Source organism: Homo sapiens, chromosome 21, assembly GCF_000001405.40.
Source record: "Homo sapiens chromosome 21, GRCh38.p14 Primary Assembly".
NCBI lineage: Eukaryota > Metazoa > Chordata > Mammalia > Primates > Hominidae > Homo > Homo sapiens.
This window is the reverse complement of record NC_000021.9, coordinates 44,848,975-44,875,512: the sequence shown is the minus strand read 5'-3', so window position 1 is coordinate 44,875,512 and position 26,538 is coordinate 44,848,975. Positions and strand designations below refer to the sequence as shown.

The window sequence follows — 26,538 nt, the reverse complement described above, 5'->3', positions numbered from 1 at the left end:
TGTTTTGGATGGACGATTGCCTATGAGTTCTCTTAAGTGACAAAAGACTGTAAGGGAAAATCTGGTTACTCAAGAAGAAAGTTTAGACATGTCAAATTGAACTCAGCTCCAGAGCCTGGCCAGTTTTAAGGATTACAAATTTTGCTTAAGCCACGATTCGCTGCTTCTTTTCAAAGAGAAACTGCTTTCCCCTTCTCCAAATCTGAAGGACAAAAAAGGTTGCAAACTTTAGCAAGACGAACAAAACCTTAACCTCGAAGGATAGTGTTAACCACACACCTGCAAACAGCTGACTCTTTGGAGAAATAACAAACGAAACTCTTGCCTTAAAACCAAGCCTCAACTCCAGCCCTATCAGGTGTGGACCTGGGTAGGCGGAACAGAGTCTGAACCTCAGCCCTGGGAGGCTGCCAGAGACCCCGGCCAGGTTCCCAGGCGGTCCGGTGAACCAAGGCCGCTCCGCGGGTGCCAGCGCTCCGAGTGCCAGAGAAGTGGCTCGGATCACAAGAGGCTGGCTTCGGAGCCATCTGCAGGCGCCCAAATCCCAACCTAAAATCACCACAGGGTCAGAATCTAATGTAAGGGGGGGTTATTCAAAGGCAGTTGGAGGCTGGCCCACCCGGAAACACCGGCTCCAGAGGAATGGAGTCCGCCCTCGGAAGCGGGGAGGGGAAGGGTGCCCTCGGGCAGGCAGAGGCGGAGGCTTTTAGCAGGACCGCGGCGTCCTTCCTACGAGGTGGGCGCAGTCCTCGCGTTTGATGGACGACGGGCAGTGCCTGCTTCAGGGAAGGGTGCGGCAGTCACGGTTTCCCGTCTTCTGGTCTAAGCAGTGCAGAAAACAGGGAAGTTCATCTACAAGGGTCATGAACTAAGAAGGCAGGAGGTTTCTGTCCCCGGCACCGGCGAATCCCGGACCCGAGAAAGGAGCTACGGGCGCACAGAAGCGGGCGGCCCCGGCTCTCGCGGGGCTTAAAGCGCGCAGTGTGTTCGGGTTCACACCTCTAAATGTATTTTTGCCATTTCTTAAGTAGCCTTAAAAATGTCCGTCACTATTTAGTCCTTTTATCAACCGAGGGGCCCGGAAGGCCGCAGCGAGGGCGTCGGCGAGAAGCCATGGAGGAGAAACGGCGCTTCTCTCGGGAGTTTAGGTGGCAGCTTCAGCAGCACACGTTTCAGCCCATTCTGGGGCCGTTTCTAGTGTGGTTAACGTACAAAAATAAACAAATCCCCTAAAAGTCCCACGCGGACATCGGCGGGAGCCCAGGGCCGGACGCCGCGGTGTGGAGCGAGGGCGCCGGCGCGGACTATGAGGGCCCACCGCGCCTCGTCCAGGGCTCACTTAAGAGCAGCGTGAGCAGCGCTTGGGACCGCCGTCCGGGACGCCCGCAGCCCTTTAGGATGGAGGCCACCGTGACCTCCGCCACCGAAGCACCGCGCTCCCCTAGTCCCCTCAGCCGGTCGCCGTTCCCCGCCGCGCAGGCGCAGGAGCCGCGGCGAGCCCCTCGGTCACGCCTCGCCCCTCGGTCACGCCTCGCCCCTCGGTCACGCCTCGCCCCTCGGTCACGCCTCGCCCCTCGGTCACGCCTCGCCCCTCGGTCACGCCTCGCCCATCCGCGCCGCGCAGGCGCACTGAGCCTCAGCCGCTCTCCTCGCTACCAGGCTCCTTTCCTCTATCGCGCAGGCGCACTGAACCTCAGCCGCGCCGGGAGGCGAGCCCGTTGGCGAGGGGCGGGGCAGATGGCGAGGGAGCGGGGCGAGCTGCTTTTTGAGGCTGCGCACTCGCATGGCCCCACCTCGCAGGTCCACTTCCGGCGCCGCGGCTGTTCCGGGCGGAGACCGCTTGTGCTGGAGTCGGAGTTGTAACGCTCCACTGACTGATAGAGCGACCGGCCGACCATGGCGCCCGGAGTGGCCCGCGGGCCGACGCCGTACTGGAGGTTGCGCCTCGGTGGCGCCGCGCTGCTCCTGCTGCTCATCCCGGTGGCCGCCGCGCAGGAGCCTCCCGGAGCTGGTGAGGGCGCCGGGGCGGGCGGGGCCGCGAAGGGGGCGGGGCGGCTGGTGGGTCCAGGTCGGGGTCGGGGTCGGGGTTTCGGCCAGGGCGCTGGGCTCGGCGGGCGGCCTGGGCCCACGGTCGCAGGCAGCGCCCCGACGGAGGCTCCTCGAGGGTCACGCCCGTTTGGCGGCCGCGGGAGCTGCCGTCGCGGCTGGGGCGCGGGCAGGGGAAGAGCCGTCTTTGTCTTTGTCTTTGTTTTGTCCAGTCGCTGCGGCCGCTCCTCGCGCGTGGCCTCGGGTTGGCCCTCGCCCGGCAGGCGGGACGCTTGGCACCTGCGGCCTCCCTTAGCCTCACTGCGACCCCAAACAGCACTCCTCGGGTTCGATCCCGAGCCGGGAAGCCGGCTCACGACGTGTTCGAGGTCGCACAGCTGGTCGGGGGCAGGCCGGGATGGCGGCCGCAGGCCCCTGCAGGGTGATGGGGCCGCGGCCGGTGTGTCTCTACAGCCGCCGGCGTTCACGCCGCCACTCCCTCCCGGCCGCAGTTCCACGCACAGCAGCGAACGCTCGCACTTATGCCTTAGAAAGGAAGGCGTCCCCAAAGCCAGGCTGTAGCATCTGATTTTGAAGCAAGCTGATTGCGGTTCTACGCTGTCCAGACGCGCAGGTGGCATTCTTCATCGTTTATCCCGTCTGCACCAGGCCCTGCGGCCACAGTGGTGACCGACAGCCAGAGCTCCTATCCAAGAGGAGCTGAGTCCCCGGGAGGCTGACCAAGAAAGAAGCAGTGAGGGCGCGGGGGCTGGGGGAGGAAAGTGCATGACAGGAGACTCAGAGTTCCAGAAACCGGCAGTGTTTATAGAGGGTGGCTTCCTGTGGGGCTGGGCCTCCAGGGCCTGGTGGGCTGCGGGAAAATCCAGCAGGTTCTAAGCTGGAGAGTGTCATGGTTGGACCTGTTTCACAATGTCATGCTGGCTTCCGTGTGTGGAGTTTCCAGGTGACCACTAGTGGTGGGGAATAGTGCCACCTTAACTTCAGTTTCCTGACCCTTACAATTAGGGTTGACCTGGGCCCAGCTTGAGGGGCTAATACTTTTCTCAGCTCTTGTTAGCCCAGGCTCTGTCAGTGTCTGTTTAGCATAGTAGAGCACCTTTTCTTTTTGTGACCTTATGGAATGTTTATTCCGATGCAGGATTATTTGTGTTTCTTCTTACCTGCCTCCAAGTGTGCTTAGGGTTTGTGACGTTAGCAATGCAGCTGCCTTGAAGTTTGTTAGTCAAGGAGGCCAGTGGGACTGTACTGGGAACTTTTGGCCCAGATTGAGTTCTAAGCGCAAATGTGCAGTGAATACGTTTCCACAAACAGAATGGGCGTCTGCAGGCAGAGTGTGTGATTCACTGGCAACTGTATCAGTGGCTCGGGGGTGTGTTTGCTTGCATTGTGAAAGCGGGAGTGTCAGGAAAACAACCATGAGGTTTTGTTTGACTGTGATTCCTCCTGCTCTGCACTGCTGAAGGGTGCAGAGATGGGTGTGGACGAGTGGAGTGGACAGTGTGGGAATTAATCCGGAACTGCCATTCGGTGTGTCAGCTGAAAAGCCATTCGGTGTGTCTGCACTTGGAGGCTGCACTTGCTTGCTTCCACTTATGGTAATCACCAAGTCCTGGTGGGTGGACTGTTGTTTCTCTCACTGGGGACCCCTTGGAATAGGAAGAATGGTGCCGTGTCATGTTGGCATTCACTGCCCAGGCGCCTTTGGTGTCTGCGTGCCCCTTGTCCTTGGAGAGAGGGGCTATTTATAGCCTGGAGAACTCCCCTCTTCCCACAGAGTACTTGCTTGGTGTGAGATTTTTACTGCTTGTCATGGTTACAGGAATGTGACCGCAGTACTGATGTTTAAAACGTTTTGTCTCCTTTACAAGGACACTGTGTGAATTTAGAGAATACATTATACCAATCCAAATCCAACACTTTTAAGCATCTTTTTATGTGTTTTGATGGAGGAGAGACATTAAGAACCCATGGTGTATTGAAGATCTTTAGAGCAAGATTCTTGAAGTTAAACCTGGATAGGGCTTTTGGACCCCACTTTATTTGTGTATGGGGTCAGACTCAATCCAAGAGCTTCATCTGGAGGAAAGACGACCCCAAAAAGGAGCTCAGACTGCTGTGTGAGGGCTGGCGCAGTGGTGGCCAGTGCAGGTCCCCGAGGTGGTGGGTCCCACTCAGCTGCTCCTTACAGTGGGGACTCCTGATGTGGAGTTCTGCCCCTGTCACCCTGAGAAACGTGGCTTTCTAACTGTACAGAGTGCTACAGTGTACATAGGGTTCACAGTGTTGATACATACTCCTAGTCTTCAACTCTTTCTTTTGAAATAGTGGAGTTTCCAAGAACATTTTTTTGTCTCCATATCTGCCCTCTTTTCTCACCTGGAATTGACAATGTAGTTGTTCTCCATGCCTCTGTCACAGTGCAGAGTGGGCACCATGCCCGTTTGGCTGCTCGTTCTGCTGATGAGCATGGAGACTGCAGCCTGTGGCCTGCGGTGTGACAGGAGCATGACAAGGAAATACGTACACTTGCTGGTGTGTTCCTTTGTCCTTAGTGTGTTTATTGACTCACCTGAAACTTCAGGAAAGCACTCAAATGGGTCATGGAGGGTTGGTGTATCCTGACAGAAGAAAACGTTATTTGTTGTTGTTGTTTTTTCCTTTAATTTCGGAAACAAATGAGACTGAAAGGTCTTTAAAAATTGATAAATGGAGTCTAAGTTGAAGCCTTGCAGTCATAGGACCCAGAAGTCAGGGCAGTCACATTCAGTGTTAGACTTAAGCAACACAAGGGCAGTTTTTATCTCTGGTTTTCTAGCACATGTTTTTTCTGTATCTTGTGATGAGATAAGAGATAGTGATCACTTAGAGAAATAAACACTGCTTGTCTTTGAAGCAGTAACAAATGATTCATGCCTTTCTTTTTTTTTTTTTTTTTTTTTTTGAGATGGAGTCTTGCCCTGTTGCCCAGGCTGGAGTGCAGTGGCGTGATGTCAGGTCACTGCAACCTCCGCCTCCCAGGTTCAAGTGATTCTCCTGCCTCAGGGATTACAGGCGCATGCTATCACACCCGGCTAATTTTCGTATTTTTAGTAGAAATGGGGTTTCTCCATGTCGGCCAGGCCGGTCTCGAACTCCTGACCTCAGGTGATCTGCCCACCTCGGCCTCCCAAAGTTTTGGGATTACAGGCGTGAGCCACTGCACCCGGCCTTTCTTTTCTTACTATGCAAGATGATATGTTTTCAAAGGATAGAATAGAATGACCTTTTTTCATCTTTGATGTTATTTTCATGAGGACTGTAAACATTGGTGTTTTCCCCCTTATTGAAAGCCCGCTCTGTTCTTGGCCTGCTGGGAGCAGGAGGAATGTTGGGCGGTTTTTCTCTCCCTCTTCCTCTCATGCCTCTCCGCTGACTCAGACTGACCGGTAATCCAGAGGTCTGGGTCTGACTCAGACTGACCGGTAATCCAGAGGTCTGGGGATAGATGGAGTTGACGGTGTGTGTTTTGGAGCTCAGTTCTTTTAGTTCACACAAGACCTAGTTATCAGAAAGAAGCTTTAAAAATGAAAATCCCCTGTCACTTGTAGCCACTGTTGGGCTGAGGAGAGGAAGCACACGCACCCTTCCTCATGGATGACTTTTCAGGAAGGACTCGAGTGGGTGTGTTGGGCATACCCTGTCTCCTTGCCCAGATTGTATTTAGAAAGACCTCAGAGGCGCAGAAAGTTGAAGGAATAGTGCAGTGAAGTCCTGGATGCCCTTCCATTCTCAACATTGGCTCTGTTTGCCTTAGCACTCTCTAGATCTCCTTATTTTTTAAATTTATAATACAATTGTTTGTGTTTTATTTATTTTTAAAAATTGATTCAGCTGGGCACAGTTGCTCACACCTGTAATCCCAGCACTTTTGGAGGCCGAGGTGGGAGGATTGCCGGAGGCCAGGAGTTCAAGACCAGCCTGGGTGACATAGCAAGACTCTATCTCTACTTATATTTTAAAAATGTATTGTAAATTGACAATCATAATTGTGTTGCCTGTTGTTATTTTGACCAAACCATTTGAGAGTAAGTTACTATTGTGACCCTTTATCTCTACATTCTTCAGAGTCTATCTCCTAAGAAGGAGGCTGTTCTTCTTCATAACTGAAATTTATATAATTATCAAAATCTGGACATGTAACATTGAATACCTGATTTAACTTACAATCCATATACAAATTTAAACAGTTACCCCAACAATGTCCTGTTCCCCTACCCCCTGAAATCCAGGATCACAAGTTGAATTTAATTGTTGTGTCTCTTTAATCTCCATTGATCTAGAATAGTTCCTCTTTGTCTTGAGAAAGCCAATTTGTGGAAGGACCCTCAGTGGGTCTTACCGGGTGTTTCCTTTGATTCGATTCAGGTGCGCTTTGGCAGGAGCACGGCACAGTGATTCTGTCCTCTCAGTATCCTCCGTGGGAGGCACATGCTGTCACTTTGTCCCATCATCATGTTGTTCTGGGTTATGGTGGAGATAACTGATCTCTTGGAAGTGCCACCTCCTCTCCATGAGTAATGACTCACCTGTGGGGAGGTGCTTTGAGACTATCTTGTCAGTCCACAGGCAGACTCAGTGGTCTTGGCATCTTCGGGGGCAGACCCAGTGGACTTGGCATCTTCGGGGGCAGACCCAGTGGACTTGGCATCTTTGGGGAATTCTTGCCTGCATTAGTGTTGGCTGTGATGATTGTAAAATGGAGGCTTCTCAACTCATCATTTCTTCAGCATTTGCCACTCGGCCTTCTCTTTATTTCATGTCAGTGTGGCTTCTAGGGGTTAGAGTTCATGACTGTTATCATTTATTTTGATGTTCACTTGGCCCAGATATGGCCAGAAAGACTCCCTCCAGGCTGGCTTCTGGGTCCTCTTGCCATTCGTTCATGTCTGTGCCACTCTCGGGCACTGCACACTGTCTGTGGCTCATGTGTTCACTTCCTGCCCCACTTCTGGAATCAGCCATTTCTCCGAGGAGCCCTGCTTCCGGCTGATGGGGAACAGCACGTAGAAACCACGACCTGGGCACCAAGAATACACCTCTGCTGCTGGGTGTTGTCCTTTCTAGGCCCTTTCAGCAGACAGAGCTAGGAGTTGAATTTTAAAACCAAGAGTTCATCATGGTGCCCGTCACATTGCAGCACCACGGGGGTCTTTGCCCACCATCAGCCCACAGTTGCTCCTTCCTCCCACAGTGCCAAGTAGCTGGGGACTTGGGAACGTCAGCAGTGCTGTTCTTATCAAAGTTTCCTGTAACCCTGTCTCTCAGCAGTGATTTAAGAAATTAAGGCTTTTCACTGGTTGTCAATTTTCTTTGCCTCCCTGGGGCTGAATACAGCCTGTTGTTTCAAGTATCTAAAGTGGCTTAAAAGAAACTTCTCCATAAACCGAATAGCACATCGCTAGAGACTCTGAGAAAAGTACTACTTAGTGATAATTGCTATAGAATATGTGACAAAATGTGCTTTCGTTTCAAATAAAGTGGAGATTTATTCAGAAAAGTGGAGTGTAGAACTACACTGTTAAATAGAAGGATCACAACAATGTACTCGATGTATTATTTGTCCCTTTTGGTAAACGTAATGAGTGAAATTGTAAGTTAAAGCTGAAGCTCTTTTCCCTCCATTTCATCATGAAGCTCTTCACATGGACAGCAAAGCTGCAGGATTTTGTGGTGCGCGCTTGTATACCCGCCACTTCAGCCGTGTCGCCATGCTTTGCTGTGTTGCATTTGTCCAGGTGTCCCCCACAGCCTTCCACGCCTGCGTGAATGTCAGTCACAGACGTGAGCATCAGTCACAGACATGAGCGTGCTCTCCTGCCTTCACCATGCCTGTCAGGGACCAGAGTTCAGCAGTTGTCTTGTTTTTTCTTTTGAGATACATTTTTCTTACGGGAATATGTGGGAAACTTAATTGTGCTGTTCAGTGAGTTACACCCACATAGCCGCGACCGAGACAGACCCTCGATCTGGAAGATTCAGCCTCCCCCACGCATGGCCGTCCCCCAGGCAGCCATTGCCCCCCTCCCTCCATACGTGAGTCTCACCTTTTCTAGAGCGGCATAGCCACGAAATTACACGGTAGGGTCTTTTGTGGAAGGCGTCTTTCGCTCACATGATGTGCTTCAGACTCATCCATGTTTTACATAGAGCAGTTCGTTTCTTTTTATCGCTGAACAGTGTTAGTGATTGCACAGCCGCCTAGCTCACCTCCAAAGGAGAGACACGTAAAACAGCCTTTTGTGTTTGGAATGCCTTTTCCAGAAGATCCCTTGATACGAGAGCCGCATGTTTGCTATTCTTGATGCCCTGCTGGTATCGTGTGAGTGTTCCAGTCTGTCTGTCCACCCTCCTACAGAGTGACATCTGGGCTGTGTTCAGCTTGGGGCTGTCACGGAGCCTTCCTGCGCAGGTCCATCTGTGGATGCAGGCGCCTTCTCTCCTGGATGAAATACTAAGAGTGGAATTGCTGAGTCATAGGTGGTCGCATGTTTGTTTAGGAGCAGCTGCCAGACCTTCTTTGCAAATGGTTGAGCCATTTACACTTCCACCAACACTGTGTGAGAGTTCTGTTGCTGTACATCCTTGCCAACATTTGGTATTGTCATTCTCTTTAATTTTAGCCATTCTGGTAGGTGTGTAGTCATCTGTCATTTGGAGTTTTAATTTGCCTTTGTCTGGTGACTGGTGATGAGCACAGAGCTCTTTTCAGCGTGCACTGTGTTTGTGTGTGTGTGTGTGTGTGTGTGTTATGGGATTGGAGTAGGCAGTCTGTGTGTGTGTGTGTGTGTGTGTTACGGGATTGGGGGAGTACGCAGTCTGTGTGTGTGTATGTGTGTTATGGGATTGGGGGAGTAGGCAGTCTGTGTGTGTGTTACGGGATTGGGGGAGTAGGCAGTCTGCGTGTGTGTTACGGGATTGGGGGAGTAGGCAGTCTGCGTGTGTGTGTGTGTGTGTGTTATGGGATTGGGGGAGTAGGCACTCTGTGTGTGTGTGTGTGTGTGTGTTATGGGATTGGAGTAGGCAGTCTCTGTGTGTGTGTGTGTGTGTGTGTGTTATGGGATTGGAGTAGGCAGTCTGTGTGTGTGTGTGTGTGTTATGGGATTGGGGGAGTAGGCAGTCTGTGTGTGTGTTACGGGATTGGGGGAGTAGGCAGTCTGCGTGTGTGTGTGTGTGTTATGGGATTGGGGGAGTAGGCTGTGTGTGTGTGTGTGTGTGTGTTACAGGATTGGGGGAGTAGGCAGTCAGCTTGGTTGCATGTTGGAAGTTACTCATGCAGTCGCTCTTGCTTCTGACTGGCTTGAGTTCCAGAGCTGTTGGCTGCGTGGAGTTTGACCCCTTCCTTAGTAGCAGCGCTTTGAGTAGTGGGCAGAGTCTCAGGGTGTTCTGTGTGGTTGGAGCAGGCTGGTGTGCCGGGCCTCTCCCTTGGTACAGGTTGGTACAGGGAGCATAGCCCAGTCTGGAGTGAGGCTACCAGGGGACTAAGACCTTGCTTTGTCACATGAGATCTGTAGGTGAGTCCAAAGACACAAGTGTGCTGCGTGGCAGTGTCGCTGGCGTTGCTGTGGCCTCGGATGGAGGCTCTTGGGTTCCCAAAAGAGTGCCTGCTGATGAGCAGAAGGTCCCAGCAGGTTTGTGGTTAGTGATTACACAGCCACAGGGCACACTTCCTCTCACAGAGAGATCTGAAACACAGCCTTCTGTGTTGGCACTCTTCTCTCCCAGAAGAGCCCTTGTGGATAGGAGCCGCATGTTTATACTCTTTGTGCCCTGCCTGCAGCGGGGTTCCTGAACACTCGTTCCACATGTCTTGAAGAAGGCTTGTTATCAGCAGGGGCTCAGGAAGAGGACCTTCATTTGGTAATTCCACATCAGAGGTTCTTGGTGCCACACCCCTCACTGGTGCCCACCCTGCCCTGCTGGACTAATATTTACACTGCCTGATTCTCAGTGACTGACTTGTCTCTTGCCTCTTTCCTGCAGCTTGTTCTCAGAACACAAACAAAACCTGTGAAGAGTGCCTGAAGAACGTCTCCGTAAGTAGCACGTGGACTAGAGACCAGAGTGCCGTCCAGACCGTCCAAAGGCACACGGGCTTTCTCTAGGTCCAGGGATTCGCTGGGATGTGTGGAGGGCTCTGTTGTTTGGGATTTGGGGGGATGTTTTTTGGAATCGTTATCAAATGTTATTTTAGCCATTTCAGGTATATTAAACCTTCTCATGAAAACTGCAGTTACTGTCTGAGCATGGTCAGTATCCATGATTTCACTCCTATGCAGATGGGGCCAGCACTGCGTGGCCAGTCTTCCTAACGAGGCCCATAGCGAGAAATTTGGCTGTCCGCAAAGCTACACCCTCAGGTTGTGAGCCCGTGTTTTCCCAGGCTGTCGGGCTGCAGCAGAGACTGCTTTCTCAGCTGCTCACACAGGATTGGAAGGGGCACAGCAAGGAGAGAGAGGCACCAGCCCTCTGGGCCGGTGGGCCAGGCTGTCCATAGCACTCTCTGGTCGTGACCTGGGGCTCAGGTTTGGATTTTAACTACCTGTGTGACCTTCAACAAGAGGGTAGCGGTCTGGAGCAAAGTTCCCTAAGCCTCCACGGCATGAGGTGGGGCCCGAGACTCCCCGGGGTGCCTTCCCGATGGAGACTGATGCAGATGCCCACCTGGAAGAAGGAGCACCCGTGGTGGGGAAGCAGCATCACAGTGCAGGTCTTGTTAAAGACGTGTGAACAGGGCTGGGTGCAGTGGCTCACGCCTGTAATCCCAGCACTTTGGGAGGCCGAGGCAGGTGGATCACGAGGTCAGCAGTTGGAGACCAGCCTGACCAACATGGTGAAACCCCGTCTCTACTAAAAATACAAAACAATTAGCTAGGCGTGGTGGCGGGTGCCTGTAATCCCAGCTACTTGAGAGGCTGAGGCAGGAGAATTTCTTGAAACCGGAAGTCGGAGGTTGCAGTGAGCCAAGATTGTGCCACTGCACTCTAGCCTGGGCAACAAGAGCAAAAAACTGTCTTTAAAAAACAAAAACAAAAACAAAAACGTGTGAACAGGGTCCTTTGGTTTTCTCTGCGTGGTGGCCTGCGCCTGGGCCAGCCTGGCTGGCACCTCTTGGGCTTGCCTTGCCACGCAGCTCTTGGTTCGGCAGCACCCAAGTCTCCTCGCAGCGCTATGAAATCAGCACGGGAAACCTGAGGGAAGGCCCACGGCAGCGGGAAGTGGTTAGGCAGAAAACAGCATCCTGTGGGGCCTTTTTCTTAGGATTCCTGATCTCGCCCACCCCTTGCCCCTTCCAGTCAGGAGTTTACCAGGTTTTGAGAACTGCAGGGCCAGAGGCTTCCTTTCCCCGGCAATGAGGTTTCATGATATGAGGAGGCCGGGAAAGATGTATTCGATGATTTCTATTCTAAGGCATGAGCCATGTTCTTAAAAACTCTTCTTCCTCCACGAGACCGTAGCGTAGGTTTGAGGAGGCCGGGAAAGATGTATTCGATGATTTCTATTCTAAGGCATGAGCCATGTTCTTAAAAACTCTTCTTCCTCCACGAGACCGTAGCGTAGGTTCGAGACACACCCTGTCAGTTTGTGGGACTTAAGTGGATACTTGCATTTGCTGATTAAAAATTGAAAGACGCTGTTTCTGTGGTTTCAGATCTTGACATTGGTGATGTTGAACCTGCTCTAATGCGCCTGGTCCTGGTGCATTTTCTAGATGGTGCTTCTTTTTAGTCTCTGGATTTTTCTATTGGAAGTCATTTCAGCTTTAAACATAGCTCACTATTGTATGTGGCTTTGTAGCCTAGAGTGCGTTTTTGCCATAGTACCCTGTGTAACCCTCACCACCCTGGGCAGGGTGTGGTGATGACAGCCATCTCGTGGATGAGGCGGCTGAGGGACTTGCCCAGGTCATTGTGGATGGGGCCAGTCCAGAAGGGCTGAAGGCCTGACTCCAGTTCTGAACCCAGACAGGGCGGTGAAGAGGGCCGCTTGCCCTACAGTAGCTCCAGGCGTGTGTGGGTGTGCTCTTGGGCACACAGGAGGTTTCTGGAAGGAGGTGTCAGTGCCTGGGAGGTCTCAAGAGGACCTGCGTGTTGGAGCAGTGGCTATGGTGGGCTGTGTCCACGCTCCTGAGGCCGTGGCGGGCTGTGTGTCTCTGTGTTGCCGAGGCCGTGGCGGGCTGTGTCTCTGCTGCTGAGGCCGTGGTGGGCTGTGTCTCTGCTGCTGAGGCCGTGGTGGGCTGTGTCTCTGCTGCTGAGGCCGTGGTGGGCTGTGTCTCTGCTGCTGAGGCCGTGGTGGGCTGTGTCTCTGTGCTGCTGAGGCCGTGGCGGGCTGTGTGTCTCTGTGTTGCCGAGGCCGTGGCGGGCTGTGTGTCTGTGCTGCTGCCTGAGCTGCTTGCTATGTGCATATTACTTCATCGATCAGAAAAGCAGCACAACCACCAGAGAACACCGTATCCTCCCAGTGCAGTCCTGTGGCTCATGGTACCACTGTCATGGAAAAATGGAAAATCAGACATTTACAACTTGAGCCACTTGAAAAGGGAGGATTAGCCAAAAATCGTTAATTGCAAGCAAAACCCCTGAAATGGAAGATACTCCCAAATGACCAGAATAAACAGGGTTTAACTGTTAATTGTTACATTATGCTGGAAACCACTTAAACACGACACTAAGGTGGTCACTGTATAAGTAGCCCTGGGAAAGAAGGCCCAGGGGACATTGTAATTAATATTTTTTTGTAATAGACTTTTGCCCTAACCTGGGCCAAAAACGCCATGACTTTCTATCCTATTAAAAAGTCAGTAACACTGTTAATGTGGAGATTGGGAGTAACAGGCAGTCTGGACTTGGGTCTGGACTTGGGCTGGCGCATGAGGTGCTGCCGAACGGCAGTTCTTTTTTTTTTCCTTTTGAGACGGAGTTTCACTCTTGTTGCCCAGGCTGGAGTGCAATGGTGCGATCTCGGCTCACCGCAACCTGCGCCTCCTGGGCTCAAGCGATTCTCCTGCCTCAGCCTCTGGAGTAGCTGGGATTACAGGCATGTGCCACCACGCCCGGCTTATTTTGTATTTTTAACAAAGATGGGGTTTCTCCATGTTGGTCAGGCTGATCCCGAACTTCTGACCTCAGGTGATCCGCCCTCCTGGCCTCCCAAAGTGCTGGGATTACAGGCGTGAGCCACCGTGCCTGACCCGAACAGCAGTTCTTTCACCCCTTCCTGTGCCATCTGCCTGCGTGCTAGGCTGTCCCCTGTCACGCTCAGTGCCTGGCTCACAGACCGCTTTCGGGCCTCGTTGTGTACTGCTGTGGCATGGGCTGGGCCCAGCTCTGGGCTCTTACACACACACACACGGGTGTGATGGTGTTGTCTCCACACCACTGCGGCCTCACACCTGACGTTCAAGGGGCTCAGACAAGAGCGTCTATGAGGTTCTCTCCAGCTGTCAGTTTAGGGCGGGCTGAGCCGTAGTTGCATCATCTTTCAAGCTGTGCGACTTAGTGCAGTTGTGAAGGTCAGAGGTAGGAAGCATGGTCCTTGCTACAGATGGTGACCATGCTCACCCAAGTCCATTCAACACAAACTCAGTGAGTGCCTGTGATGGGCCAGGCTGTGTCCTGTGTTCTTGGGAGACTTCAGCCAGTGAAGTGCACAGGTGCCCGGCGTGTGGGGAGGAGAGGTCTACGGAAGCAAACCTCACAGGAGGTGAGGAGGAGGGGGTGGAGGCGGCTGGTTGTGTCCAGTCTGTTGATCGAGGCAGGGCCCATCCAGTCAGTGGGGAGCCACACAGATGTGGGGAGAGTGCTCCAGGCAGAACCGGCAGGCTGAGCTGAGGCTGAGAGCATGAGGTGGGGTTGGCAGCACTCAGGAGGCTGCCAACACAGAGGCCCCGTGGCCTCAGCAGGGTGAGTTGTGGAAGAGGCCTGAGTGACGCGGGCCTTGGATGAGTCCGTGGAGAGCTGACAGGGCTGCTGGCCGCTGTGCTGGGTGTGGACCGAAGGGCGCTGAGGGTGAAGGCAGAGATGAGGCGTTGAGGGGGAGGTTGAGCCTTTACAGCCATCCACAGAGCGATGGCAGCACTGGCGGGCTGTGGGCAGAGCCTGGACAGTTCTTTGGTTTTTCTGTTGTTTCTAATGCTTGCTTAATGTTGGTCTCTTTCAGTGTCTTTGGTGCAACACTAACAAGGCTTGTCTGGACTACCCAGTTACAAGCGTCTTGCCACCGGCTTCCCTTTGTAAATTGAGCTCTGCACGCTGGGGAGTTTGTTGGGGTAAGTCATTGTTTTCATTTGCTGCTTGCAAAATCGATGCTTCTTTGAAAATAGTAGTATGGGCCGGGCGCGGTGGCTCACGTCTGTAATCCCAGCACTTTGGGAGGCGGAGGCGGGTGGATCAAGAGGTCAGGAGATTGAGACCATCCTGGCTAACATGGTGAAGCCCCGTCTCTATTAAAAATACAAAAATTAGGTGGGCGTGGTGGCATGCACTTGTAATCCCAGCTACTTGGGAGGCTGAGACAGGAGAATTGCTTGAACCCGGGAGGCGGAGTTTGCAGTGAGCCGAGATCGTGCCACTGCACTCCAGCCTGGCGACAGAGCGAGACTGTCTCAAAAAAAAAAGAAAATAGTATTATGTGCTCAGTTAGCAGAAGTTGCTAGAAAATGTGCTGCCAGTAGCTCTGTGACTCCCAGGGAGAGGTTGGGAAGCCAGGGGTGATCTGCTGACCGGGAAAGCAGCCCTGGGGAACCTGGAGGACCTCCTTCAAGGTGGTCAGCCCCAGCACTGAGCTCTATCTCACCACGTTACAGAAGGTGTGGGGAAAAGGGTGAGTTTGAAGGCAACGTGTTTGACTTCTCTGCTCAGTATGTTTTGTTCATGTGTCACCCCTGAAACTCACCTGTGAATTCCCCTAGAATCTCCAGTTTTCCCAGCTTAAGAATCCCTGCTTGCGTAGACAGCCCTCTTTTTTTGTGTGCGTATCTTTGTATATTTGATTTTGGAGGCGTTTTTAAATTAAGGAAATCAGCTCTTGTGAGATTCAAGTTGTTTTCTAGTTTGCCTTTATTTATTTATTTATTTATTTTTGAGACGGGCTGGAGTGCAATGGCACTATCTTGGCTCACTGCAAGCTCCGCCTCCCAGGTTCACGCCATTCTCCTGCCTCAGCCTCCTGAGTAGCTGGGACTACAGGTGCCCGCCACCACGTCCGGCTAATTTCTTGTATTTTTTAGTAGAGACGGGGTTTCACTGTGTTAGCCAGGATGGTCTCGATCTCCTGACCTCATGATCTGCCCACCTCAGCCTCCCAAAGTGCTGGGATTACAGGCGTGAGCCACTGCGCCCAGCCCCGTAGTTTGCCTTTTAAATCAGTTTGTGGTGTGTTTTGTAACCTAGAACTCATTATTATGTAGTTGAATTTATTAATCTTTTAGGCTTCAGGTTTTGGGGTAATACATAGGGTTCCTAAACTTTGTAAAGAAGCAATATTTTCTTAAGGTGTTTTGATGATTCTTTTTGTTTATTTGCATCTTGGATCCCTCTGCAACTTACGTCTTACTTACCACTCTTCTAATTGATTTCCATTTCAAAATCTATCAGCCTCCATCTGAAACAACTTGTTGCTGGTGTTGAGGCCCTAGAGAATTCAAAAGTTTGTGTGGTGGTGGTGGTTGTAGTGTGGGATGTCTGGCAGGGGGTGGTGGTGGTGTGTGTGCACCTTCATGTGTGATGTGTGTACTGTGTGTGATGCATGTGTGTTTGTGAACTCATCCCTTCCATGGAACTTCTCTTAATGACCACTCTGAAGACACAGCTCCTGGACCTGGGGAGCCTTGCCCTTTGGAACACCTGTTCTGGAGGTGTTTTTAATGGCATGTAGCTTCTCATGAAGTGCACACATCTGAAGTCTCTCTCTGCATGGACTTTATAGCCTACATAATGCACACATGTGTGCCTGCATGGACCGCAGTTTATAGCCTACATAATGCACACGTGTGTGCCTACATGGACCGCGGCTTATAGCCTACATAATGCACACGTGTGTGCGTACATATATTCAGTGCATTTTTGCATACGTATACAGGTTATCACCACTCACAGCAAAGTAGGTAGGACTTCCAGGACTTTCAGAAGGCCCAATTCCTGTCAGGACCCCCATGGGAGCCACTGACTGGACTTCCCGTCACCACAGATTAATGTTACTGGTTCCCGCCTTTATGTGGAGGAAATCCTGTGCTTTATTGGATGTTTTATTCAGCATGTGCCCGAGATTCGTGTCAATTGCCTGCACCAGTTATCTTTCTCGTGCAGTGTTCTACAGCTGTTCAGCCATGCTGCCACTCAGGGACGCCTGGGTCCTTCTGGTGCTGCTGTGAGCGGTGTTGTGTTGGTGCCGGCACAGGCGCTCACGTCTGGAGGAGTGTAGGGGTGGAGTTGCTGTGTCACGGAGCATATTTGTGTTTAGCCTTAGTACGTCTGCCAAATGTTTTTGGAGTGGCTGTACCAGTTTGGCCTCCCTCAGGCAATGTGGGACTTGGTTGCTCCACATCCTTCCCAATGTTTAGGGTAACCAGTCACCCTAAGTTCAGTCCATCTAGTGGGTGTGTAGTGGTGTCTTGTGCTTCTCACCTGCATTTCTGCAGTGACTAGCCGATCGTGCTGAGCACCTTTACAAGTGGTGGGTGTTTTTGACAATTCTCTTGTGAAATGACATCCCCACGCTAGGCTGCAGAAGTGGATGGACACACAACACCCAGCCCTGCACATGAGAGCGGCAGCAGGTGACTAGTCACAGTCACAGTGGGGAGGGGGCACCACACGCCACGCAGGGTCCCGCAGGGGAACAGGGCTCGGGGAGGCAGCCATTTCGTGACAGGAGGGTGGGGTGCGATGGGCTTGTTTGGTTAATTCTGAGGCTGAGAGGGAACTGACACCTGCTCCTCCGGGAGAAACAGAAAGTGTGCCTGGCCCTGCCGGGAGGAGGAAGAGGCTGTCTGAGCTGGGACCTTGTCCAGCCTTGCCCACGGGAGCAGAGTGGGGAGGAGCAGTTGTGGCCGGGCCCTCAGGGCCCTCCTGATTTCACCAGATGCCGCGGCGCACATGATACCCGTTTTAGGTCTTGCACCACAGGTCCTTGTTTATTCTTACAGGTAACCTTAGAACCATTTTATCCAGTTCTAGCCAAAATTATTTTGGAGCTTTAATTGTAATGGCCTGATAAACATGCTTACTTGAAGGAAAATGAAATGTCTACAGCGTTGGCCGTTTGTCCAGAGGCAAAGATGCCTCTCTTTCAGGCCTCTCCCACATCCTTTGGTTCAAGTTCAAGTTCATGGGTTTTACCCTATGGAATCAGCAAAAGGAGCCCAGAGTTTGTTTCCCATTGTGACAGGATTTCTGTTTGTTTTTAACTAGTTTTAGCTGCTAATCAGAAAAGCTATCTGAGGGGTAGATATGTTTTAAGGCCAGCCATCTTGTTGATCTCATTGGAGTTCTCCAGTCAGAAAATGACATCTTCTGCCAATGAAGGTCCCCTCTGTAGTTCTCCCTCTTACTATAATTTTTGCAATTCTACGCTTCCAGAACAGGTCAGAGGAGGAAAAAACACAGGATTAAAAGCTCAAAAGGCATTTGATCAGATGTAACCTCCTATTCCTGATTTTCAAACTATTTTAATAAACTAAGAAATGCGGATCTCAGCGTCCGGGGCAGCAGAGGGGTGAGGCTGCGGGAGCCCCAGAGGCCTGGCCGTCGGCCTCCTTGCCAGGGCCCAGGCATGCAGCAAGTGTTCAACTCCCAGCCCCTGGAGGTGAGACGGTGTCACCTGTGGTGGTGGCACAGCTATTAACTGTAGTTAAAAACAGTGAATCATGCGGTAATCTACTGCCCAGGGGAGTTTGCTTATAAAGCCATCTTCAGGAGGCTGGCTGGGTGTTTTTTGTTTGTTTCAAGATGGTGTCTTGCCGTGTTGCCCGGGCTGGAGTGCAATAGTGTAGGCACGGCTCACTGCAGCCTCAACCTCCCAAGCTCAAGCGATCCTCCCACCTCAGCCTCCCATGTCGCTGGGACCAGAGGTGCATGCACCACACCCAGTTAATTTGTTAAACAGTTTTGTAGAGATGGGCAGGGCTGGGTCTCACTTTGTTGGCTGGGCGGGTGTTGAACTCCTGGGCTCAAGCAATCCTCCCGATTTGGCCTCCCAAAGTGCTGGGATTATAGGTGTGAGCCACTGTGTCCAGCCAAGGAGGCTGTTTGAACTACATGATTGAAAACACATTTGCAAAAGTAGTTTTAGGGTATTTTTTAATTGCCTCTGGTTTGAACTGAATGGAAAAATCTTGGCTGATTTCAATGTATAGATCTTCAAAAGAAGTTTAAAAGGATAGTAAGATCTGTTTTAAATGTGCACGTGTGTCTGAAGGCTGGTTAAGGAAATCATAACAGGGTTTGGGACCGATTAGCCAGCCGTTCTTCAGCCCCAAGGTCCTCAAAACACTCAGATTTGAAGATGATCCCGTCTTGTTCCGTGGTCTCGTCCGCTCCTCCACGGTCATTCTTTTCGAACCTGGCCGCCAGTATGTGCCCTGAGAGTCTATTTCTCTTGTAAATCATTGTAATATTCTTGACTTTGGTTTAAATAAAAAAAAAGAAAGCTGCATCAGGCTTAACCTCCATTTCTGTGAGTTTAGAATGTCTTACGAGAGTCTGAGTATGTAGCTTGGAATTTTGGTTAGTTAACTTTTCTCAGGCTTGAAATACCTTTTCAAACTCAGCTGAGACAGACTACCCTGTCACTTCAGTTCATTATGGTTAATATTATAAATTGTTAATAAATTCTAAGTCACAGATAGGAACGTGTGGCTGAAAGGAGACTTGGAGAGGGCGGGACCCTGTGGGGTGGAGGCAGGGCCACAGGCTCTCCACACGCCAGGAGCCAGCAGCCTGGCCGAGGCGGCTTTCCTCCTTATGCTCCTGTGTCCTGAGGTTGTTCCCCAGGGGCGAGGGAAGGCTGCTGTGCTGGGTGGGTTCTGTGTCTGGGGCGGCCCTAACTCCAGGTGCTTGAATCTCCAGTGAACTTTGAGGCGCTGATCATCACCATGTCGGTAGTCGGGGGAACCCTCCTCCTGGGCATTGCCATCTGCTGCTGCTGCTGCTGCAGGAGGAAGAGGAGCCGGAAGCCGGACAGGAGTGAGGAGAAGGCCATGCGTGAGCGGGAGGAGAGGCGGATACGGCAGGAGGAACGGTGAGGTGGTGGTGATGCCCGCTGGGAAGGTTACTTCGAGGGGATTCAGATCTGCAAGGCCATGGAAATCACATGGATACATCCTGAGTTTTCCTCAGTTTTTAGAAATTAAGAATGTGTATAGTGCCCAGGGGATCTTCTAGGTCGTGGTAGAGAGCGAGAGACTGTGATGGGAACCTAGCAGTGGCTGCGAACCTTGCTTCTATAGGCTTCCTCGCCCGGTGTCCTCCCATCGGTGCAGTAAGGCTGAGTCTGTGCGCGGTGACACGGGTGTGTGACGGCTGCTAAGGCGGCTCGTCCAGGCCCAGCATTTGCCAAGAGCAAGCTGAGGCTCAGAGGGGACAGCGTCTGACTGTGGCTGGGTCAGCTCTCCTGTCGCCCTTTCCCTGGTGACACAGCACTCTCCTGAGTGCTTGCTGGGGCTCTGGGGCAACCCCAGGAGGAGGTGGTGTAATCCACACCTGGCAAAGGAGAGGACCTGAGGGGCCAACTGTCAGGTTGGCGGCGGGCGAGGGTGGAAGCGGGACAGATTTTCCATGTAGTCACCTTGAAGTCACATGCTACTAAGTAAAAGCTGACAATCGCATTTTCCTCACCATCTTCAGAACCTGGTGTATGATTTTTACTGTGTTTTCTTTGTATGAAAAAAGCTTTTTAAAAATCACGGTATTGGGCATTTGAATTGCTTTTATTGAAAAGAGTAGAGTAATACATTGGAACGGCCTTTGAAGACTGGGTTCGTTGTCACCTTGCCTGTCCTGGTGGGTATGTGGCCTGATGACCAAGCTTGTCCTCACCCTGGTTTCACTCTGGGAACTGGAGGGAAGCCACCAGAAGAAACCTGGCGCCCCCACTGAGGGACACGGAAGGGCGTGTCTAGCAGTTACACCACCGTGCGCTGTCGTTTGGTGCTCATAATGTTCCTCTGTGTTTTAGGAGAGCAGAGATGAAGACAAGACATGATGAAATCAGAAAAAAATATGGTAAGGACTGGTCACGCCTCCTTTTTGTCTGGTTGGGAGGCGATGGCACGCTGTCTCGGTCCTCGTTAGTGCCAGTGTGGCCTGAGATGGGGCTGTGGGTTCACCCATCGGAACAGAAGGACGTCTCTCCAGAGAGGAGCAGCTGGCGGTTGTCCCCAGCGGTTCTGTGGTGAACTCACTCCTAAGAATATCTTTATCTCAGCCAGTCGTCTTCATGAAGTCTGTTTTCTCAGATAGCTGTTTGCTTATCGAGTCCCAAGACTTCTGGGCTGGAAGTCTGCAGCTGTTCTGCCGTCGTGTTTGGCTTCCTGTGGGCACGCCTGCGTAGCCGAGGTGCTGTGAGTTTCAGGGCGGCCCTCTCATCCTCGGGAGCGTTGCTCGTTGCCATCTTCTGAGTGTGGCAGGCGCTCCTTCCAAGCACTCCCCAGCACCGGCCCTGCTCCTTCTCGCCCAGCCTCGGCGTTCTGTTCTTGTTTGGTTGTGTCTGGAGAGATTTTGGAGAGGAGCTTTGAAGGAGCCAGAATGAATGTATTTGCCAAGTGTAAACCTTTTATTTAGTTGGAGTGAATTGGAAATACACATTACGTTATCTATACTCCCCCAAACCACGTGATGTTCACTGCTTAACACTGAACACCACCACCCAGCCGTGCTTCGTTGATTCTGTATGATTTTAAAGTCCGCAAAGAGTCTAGTGTCTCCCGCGCTGGGTTTGTGGTTGTGTGGTGTCATGGGCGTCTCCCGCGCTGGGTTTGTGGTTGTGTGGCGTCATGGACATGGTGGGAACTGACTCCTCGCCTGTGCGAGGTGCGTGGTCCTGGGTTCATGGCAGCCGTGGGCCTCAGGAATCTGTCGTCCTGCGCCCACGGTGCTTTCCTTGAAGCAGTATATTAAAGGCTAAACCTAATTGGAAAATTTCAGAGCCTTTTCTGACTAATGCACGTGTTTTGAGTCTTCTGTTTGTTTTAGGGAATATCATATATTTGTGGTATTTTAGGGTCCCACCCACTGGGGGCATGAGGACGTCGCTGCGGTTCTCGGTCATCGGGTGGGGGGTGGACGGCAAAGCCCAGCAGCCACTGTGAGCGGCGCCTCCGTCAGGTGCAGGTGATTGGCGTTGGGTTCCCTCTCATGGGGGCTGCAGAGGCCCCATGCTGCTGGTGCCCTGGACTGTAAACGCTGGGTGGCTCTGCCCACTGGCCGGGACGTCCCCTCCCTGTCAGTTCTGGCCTCCTTGGAAAGTCACCTCCATGTGACTGTGCTGTGACCTGAGGCCACGTGAGTCCTGCCGGTCTCGAAGTGTCGGCTTGGGGGCGTGAGGCTGCCTTGGCTGCTGGCCTCGAGATGCCCAGTGGCTGATAGAGGCTTTTTCCTATGTGTTCCCGCCCATCAGTCTCCTGAGTGCCGTGTGCTTGGGCGCTGACTCTCTGGGTTCTCTTCACTGCTGCCTTGTCCTTGCCCCACCCTCTCTGTCGCCTGTTGTTTCCCGGTGTGTGTCTGGAGTGGGTGGTGACCGGGTACCTGCGTGTGACTGTCATAAGGAGCAGCACCAGGGTTGCCCTCCTCAGCGAGTGCATGCCTGTGTACGTGGAGCGTGGGCCCAGCAGCATCTCTGCAGGCCTTGGCTGGAGGCATTGTGCTTTCCTTGAAATGGAAGAGTCAAGAGCTTTTTGGCACCTAATTTTTTTTTTTTTTTTTTTTTGAGACGGAGTCTCACCTTGTCGCCCAGGCTGGAGTGCAGTGGCGCGATGTCAGCTCACTGCAAGCTCTGCCTCCCAGGTTCACACCATTCTTCTGCCTCAGCCTCCTGAGTAGCTGGGACTACAGGTGCCCACCACTACGCCCAGCTAATTTTTTGTATTTTTTAGTAGAGATGGGGTTTCACTGTGTTAGCCAGGATGGTCTCAATCTCCTGACCTCGTGATCCGCCCGCCTCGGCCTCCCAGAGTGCTGGGATTATAGGCATGAGCCACCACACCCAGCCAGACTAATGTTAATGTAAATAAAAGACAAGGTGGATACACACACACGCACACGCGCACACACGCACACACTGCCCAGCACCTGTTATCACCAAGCACAAGCTGTGTTTAAGTTGCTCGACCTTTACTGTGCCCTGACTCCCAGCGGGTGTGAGGCTGTGGGTGGCCGGCCAGGCTCTTGGAGTGGTGTCTTCTGTGTCAGGGCCCTGATTGACTTGCACTTGCCATTTTGGTGGTTAATTTGGCCCTTTAATTGCATTGATGAAATGAGCTTTTTGTGCCAGTTTGTAATAAAGCCATTGAATGGCCTGTGCTTTGGAAAGCCTCGGCTAGTTAGAAGAATTCCTAGGAATTCCTGATGGGAGAGTGCGAGAAAGCATGTGAGTCCACCTGGTGCAGTTATATAAAATACCAGCACGCACGCAAAAACCCTTCTTTTGGTTTTGGTTTTCCCTCTAAACTGGAAGTAGACTCAGGAGCGAGTTTTTCAATAAGAACTTAACCAGCCTCCTTGCTAGTATCTGATGACTCTTTCCCAAAACCGACTTTGAGCCTCACTCCCAAAGCCTGATGCCTGTGGCCCTCCTTGACAGGCAAGAAAGAAACATGGCTAGGCCCTTCCTTACCATCCCTCTGCTTCCCCGCCGCCTCTTCCACCCAGCCCCCAGAATACATGCAGTGAGTAGCTTTGTTGTAATCGCTGCAGATAATTTTAGTGTACAATACAGATTGTTAAAGGGAGAGAGAGGCCAGGCACGGTGGCTCACGCCTGTAATCCCAACACTTTGGGAGACCAAGGTGGTGGATCACCTGAGGTTGGGAGTTCGAGACCAGCCTGACCAACATGGTGAAACCCCGTCTCTACTAAAAATACAAAAATTAGCCAAGTATGGTGGTGGGTGCCTGCAGTCCTAGCTACCCGGAGGCTGAGGCAGGAGAATTCCTTGAACCCAGGAGGCGGAGATTGCAGTGAGCCGAGACTGCGCCATTGCACTCTATCCTGGGCAACAAGAGCAAAACTCTGTCTCAAAAAAAAATAAAAAATAAAGGGAGAGAGAGTGTGTGTATGTGTGTGTGTTTCTGCAGTGTGAAGGGAAAACTCCTGGTCTTTGGGTAAGTAGCACAGGTTTACTCTTATGATTAAATACACATTTTATCCCAGTTTTGTCAGAGTACTCGAGAGTTAGATTGATGGTCATCTTAGTTCTTTCTGTAGCCTTAATTCCAAAGGTTTAAGAGCAGCTATAAGCACAAAGTAAGGTTATTTTGTTTAATAGTAGCCATCCACTGTGGAACTAGCCAACCACTGTGGAAAGAAATACTTGCCTTAAATTTCTTTTCTTCGCCGAGCATCAGGAAGTAAGTGCTTATCTCTTAGGATCTGTTAGAGTTCTTGTTTCTAGTAAATTTTATTTCAGTTTTAAAGTTTAAAGTGGTTTGACTTCAAAAAAGGTTAAGCACTGTATGAGAGCCTGCTTACAATGCCCGTTGTTGCTATAGCCTCAGTAAATCTTCTTATAAAGCTTGGTTTGTATGGCTTTCTAAGATTTTGTTTCTGGTTGAATGAATGAAGTTATGATTCAAGTTTATTTTGTTTCAGGCCTGTTTAAAGAAGAAAACCCGTATGCTAGATTTGAAAACAACTAAAGCGCTCCAGCACATCAGTCCCGACGCTTCCTGTGAGGTGCACGCTCCGCAGCCCAGCCCAGCCGGGAGACCACGTGGCCATTGCGGTCTCCTGACCTTGGCCAGTGAACCTGCCAGCCTTCCAGGACAGGCGGCCGGAGAGCTGCCCCTGAAGGACAGTCCTCTCGTCTTGCAGACTGGTGACCTTCTATTCCCTGTTCATCTCTGTTTCTAGATTTAGTCACTTGAAATAAGAAATCTTTGGGGTTTGGGCTTTTTTATACTCTTCTCAGTTTGTGAAACGCTAACTGCACACGAAGCCGCCTGACGGCACCCAGCGCTGTGGCTGTCATTCTCCCAGGGCAGAACCCTGCGTTTCTCTCTGTCCACTAACAAGCTTCACACGCAACACAGGGAAGTCGGTTTGACTTTTGTCATGAGGAGAACTGACCAGCCCTCATCATTCCCCATAAAACCACGGACAGCGTCTGTGTGCGCATCTTGAGTCTTCACACCTGTTGACTCACACGGCTTTTGCTGATGACACGGGGCTCCAGTACACAGTCTGATAAGGACTTAACGTCCTAACCTCAATTGTATTAAATAGCATTGGGGAATAGCTAAACCTTTTTAAAAAAATTTATTGGATTTTCCTCCCTGCTTAAAAGATTTCACCAGAAAACCTTCATATAAAAATTCAGGCCCTTTTTGGACAATTTTTAAAATTTGTATCTTTACTAGAACATGAGAATCTTTTTCCCTTGGAAGCTTGAATTATAAATGTGGTGTTTGGCCTGCCTCAGCAGCACCAGTTGACTGCTCGTGTGCCAGCGGTGTGGGGAGGACGGGGCAGGACGCTGCAGCTCTCTCCAGCCCTGTTGGCATCCTCAGTGCCTGCAGGCCTCTCGCTGCCTGTTGGGCTGTCTGGGGGGTGGCCATTTAGGGATCGTGGGGACGGGGTCCACCCCAAGAAGAAAGAAAGGCCCGTCCACAGGCCCGGCTCTGGGCCACGTGCCCCGGAAGCAGGTGTGTCCAGAGTCAGCTGAGGGCTCTCCCCACACCACCCAGCAGGCGCTGGTGCTCCTTCTGCCTCATGGGACCAGTCCAGCTTCCAGCCGCTCTGGCTCGAGGGTGGTCTGACCACTTCCTTCTGAGTGGGCTTCTCTGGGAGCTCTCCAGTGGCACTGCTGGACCTGCCCACGTTTCTGTAAAATCAGGATACGTGGCTTTAGTAAGCAGACCAAGCGCTTCGTGGCAGGGAAAGCAGCGTGCGGGGAAGTCACTGAAAAGTGCTGCCTAAGGAAGTTTGGAAATAGTCCCTGTTCCAGATTGCCTTGAATTTTAAAACATTTTGCTTTGGGAAAGTAGGTCAGCAGCACCTAAGATCAAGGATGCGTTCCATTTTCACACTTCACAGTCATGAAAACTGAGAAGACTGTCTTCAGCGTGAACTAAAGTTCACAGGCAGATCACTGATCCAGAACACTTCAAGAACTCGTCAAACAGCTCGATAAGCCTTTTTGACTGTGTACATCTGTACCGGGAATAACATTCCTAGGCTGAAATTTCCACAAAGAATAGAACCTGTACCCAGTTCTTCAGGCTGATTTCCCTGACCTCTTGGGCATTTGTATTTGTAGTAAAGTATTGCAGAGATTCCTAAGTATTTTATAGCAGCCATCAAAATTGGACTTTGTATTGTTTATTCATAAAAGACACTTGGTAATAGACTTCAGTGAACTCTGTATGAATGCAGTAGTGTGTGTGCAAAATCCGCTTCCTGAGCGTAGGGTGCTGAGCTGGCGCTAGGGCTCGGTTGTGAAATACAGCGTAGTCAGCCCTTGCGCTCAGTGTAGAAACCCACGTCTGTAAGGTCGGTCTTCGTCCATCTGCTTTTTTCTGAAATACACTAAGAGCAGCCACAAAACTGTAACCTCAAGGAAACCATAAAGCTTGGAGTGCCTTAATTTTTAACCAGTTTCCAATAAAACGGTTTACTACCTGCGTGTGTTTAGTATGCTGCGTGTTCCTGTGTTCCATCTCAGTGGTGTCGACATGACCGCTTGGAATGCTGGGAGGCAGGTAGGCTTTTTTGGGTAAAGTGGGCCTCTGACCCATCGTGGGATGCCTGGGCAGTCTCCAGACTAAATGCCTGTGGCTGTCAGAACGGACCAGGCTGTGTCCTAAAACTGTGCCCACGGGCCTGCCTCGCAGGGGAGGTCTTGGCTGTCTCTGCCCTCCACAGCTGCCCTGCGCACCGCATGCCCTCCACTCGCGCTGGGTGCCGAGGGCCGGGGGAGAAGGCAGGGCTGCCTCGGGAAGGGCGACCTTGGCCCCCCCGTGTGAAACGCACACCTGCATGAGGCTCCCGCGCTCCCTGCTCCCCTCGCGTCCTTCCCTGGGTGTCTCCGTGCCAGGTTTTTAGGGAGTGCCCCCCCACCCCGGCCCCCTTCTGTGTTGCTCCTGCCACTTCAGTCCTCTGGGACACAGGGTTGAGTCCGAGCAGCAGAGTATTGGTATGTCTGTCTGTCCCGTGGACCTGCCCCGCAGGGCCCAGCGTTTGTGGCTACGAGCACCAGCCCGTCTGCGGCGGAAACCCCCTGTGCTCGACCCGCTTCCGGCTCATT

General features: G+C 51.8%; 1 protein-coding gene and 1 long non-coding RNA gene across 4 annotated transcripts, besides 8 other annotated features; both read left to right on the top strand.

Annotated features, from left to right (window-relative positions):
• Positions 866-1,543: an enhancer, noted in NCBI's record as "H3K27ac-H3K4me1 hESC enhancer chr21:46293885-46294562 (GRCh37/hg19 assembly coordinates)". NCBI's record gives its function as "activates a minimal SCP1, AML or CMV promoter by ChIP-STARR-seq in naive H9 embryonic stem cells {active_cell/tissue: H9 hESC(naive)}" and the evidence as "EXISTENCE:reporter gene assay evidence [ECO:0000049][PMID:30033119]".
• Positions 1,460-2,109: a silencer, noted in NCBI's record as "silent region_13393". NCBI's record gives its function as "represses an Ori minimal core promoter by ATAC-STARR-seq in GM12878 lymphoblastoid cells {active_cell/tissue: GM12878}" and the evidence as "EXISTENCE:reporter gene assay evidence [ECO:0000049][PMID:35858748]".
• Positions 1,460-2,201: a biological region, named in NCBI's record as "H3K27ac hESC enhancer GRCh37_chr21:46293227-46293727".
• Positions 1,701-2,201: an enhancer, noted in NCBI's record as "H3K27ac hESC enhancer chr21:46293227-46293727 (GRCh37/hg19 assembly coordinates)". NCBI's record gives its function as "activates a minimal SCP1, AML or CMV promoter by ChIP-STARR-seq in primed H9 embryonic stem cells {active_cell/tissue: H9 hESC(primed)}" and the evidence as "EXISTENCE:reporter gene assay evidence [ECO:0000049][PMID:30033119]".
• On the top strand, positions 1,823-25,915 carry PTTG1IP (PTTG1 interacting protein). Of its 3 annotated transcripts, NM_004339.4 has the most exons (6): positions 1,823-2,011; positions 10,066-10,118; positions 14,242-14,350; positions 19,149-19,320; positions 20,257-20,303; positions 23,886-25,915. In NM_004339.4, the coding sequence occupies exons 1-6, from the start codon at positions 1,897-1,899 to the stop codon at positions 23,930-23,932; spliced, it is 543 nt and encodes a 180-aa protein (NP_004330.1). In that variant the 5' UTR covers positions 1,823-1,896; the 3' UTR covers positions 23,933-25,915. The 3 variants fall into 3 exon arrangements, 2 of the variants coding, with proteins under 2 accessions (NP_004330.1, NP_001273751.1); NR_104597.2 differs by lacking the exon at positions 14,242-14,350; NM_001286822.2 differs by lacking the exons at positions 14,242-14,350; positions 19,149-19,320; positions 20,257-20,303.
• Positions 2,202-2,702: an enhancer, noted in NCBI's record as "H3K27ac hESC enhancer chr21:46292726-46293226 (GRCh37/hg19 assembly coordinates)". NCBI's record gives its function as "activates a minimal SCP1, AML or CMV promoter by ChIP-STARR-seq in primed H9 embryonic stem cells {active_cell/tissue: H9 hESC(primed)}" and the evidence as "EXISTENCE:reporter gene assay evidence [ECO:0000049][PMID:30033119]".
• Positions 9,466-9,535: an enhancer, noted in NCBI's record as "active region_18578". NCBI's record gives its function as "activates an Ori minimal core promoter by ATAC-STARR-seq in GM12878 lymphoblastoid cells {active_cell/tissue: GM12878}" and the evidence as "EXISTENCE:reporter gene assay evidence [ECO:0000049][PMID:35858748]".
• Positions 9,786-10,025: an enhancer, noted in NCBI's record as "active region_18577". NCBI's record gives its function as "activates an Ori minimal core promoter by ATAC-STARR-seq in GM12878 lymphoblastoid cells {active_cell/tissue: GM12878}" and the evidence as "EXISTENCE:reporter gene assay evidence [ECO:0000049][PMID:35858748]".
• LOC124905039 (uncharacterized) lies at positions 10,125-11,720 on the top strand. The gene is made up of 2 exons (XR_007067906.1): positions 10,125-11,545; positions 11,644-11,720. It is a non-coding gene; the product is annotated as an uncharacterized LOC124905039 (long non-coding RNA).
• Positions 12,530-13,243: an enhancer, noted in NCBI's record as "H3K27ac-H3K4me1 hESC enhancer chr21:46282185-46282898 (GRCh37/hg19 assembly coordinates)". NCBI's record gives its function as "activates a minimal SCP1, AML or CMV promoter by ChIP-STARR-seq in primed H9 embryonic stem cells {active_cell/tissue: H9 hESC(primed)}" and the evidence as "EXISTENCE:reporter gene assay evidence [ECO:0000049][PMID:30033119]".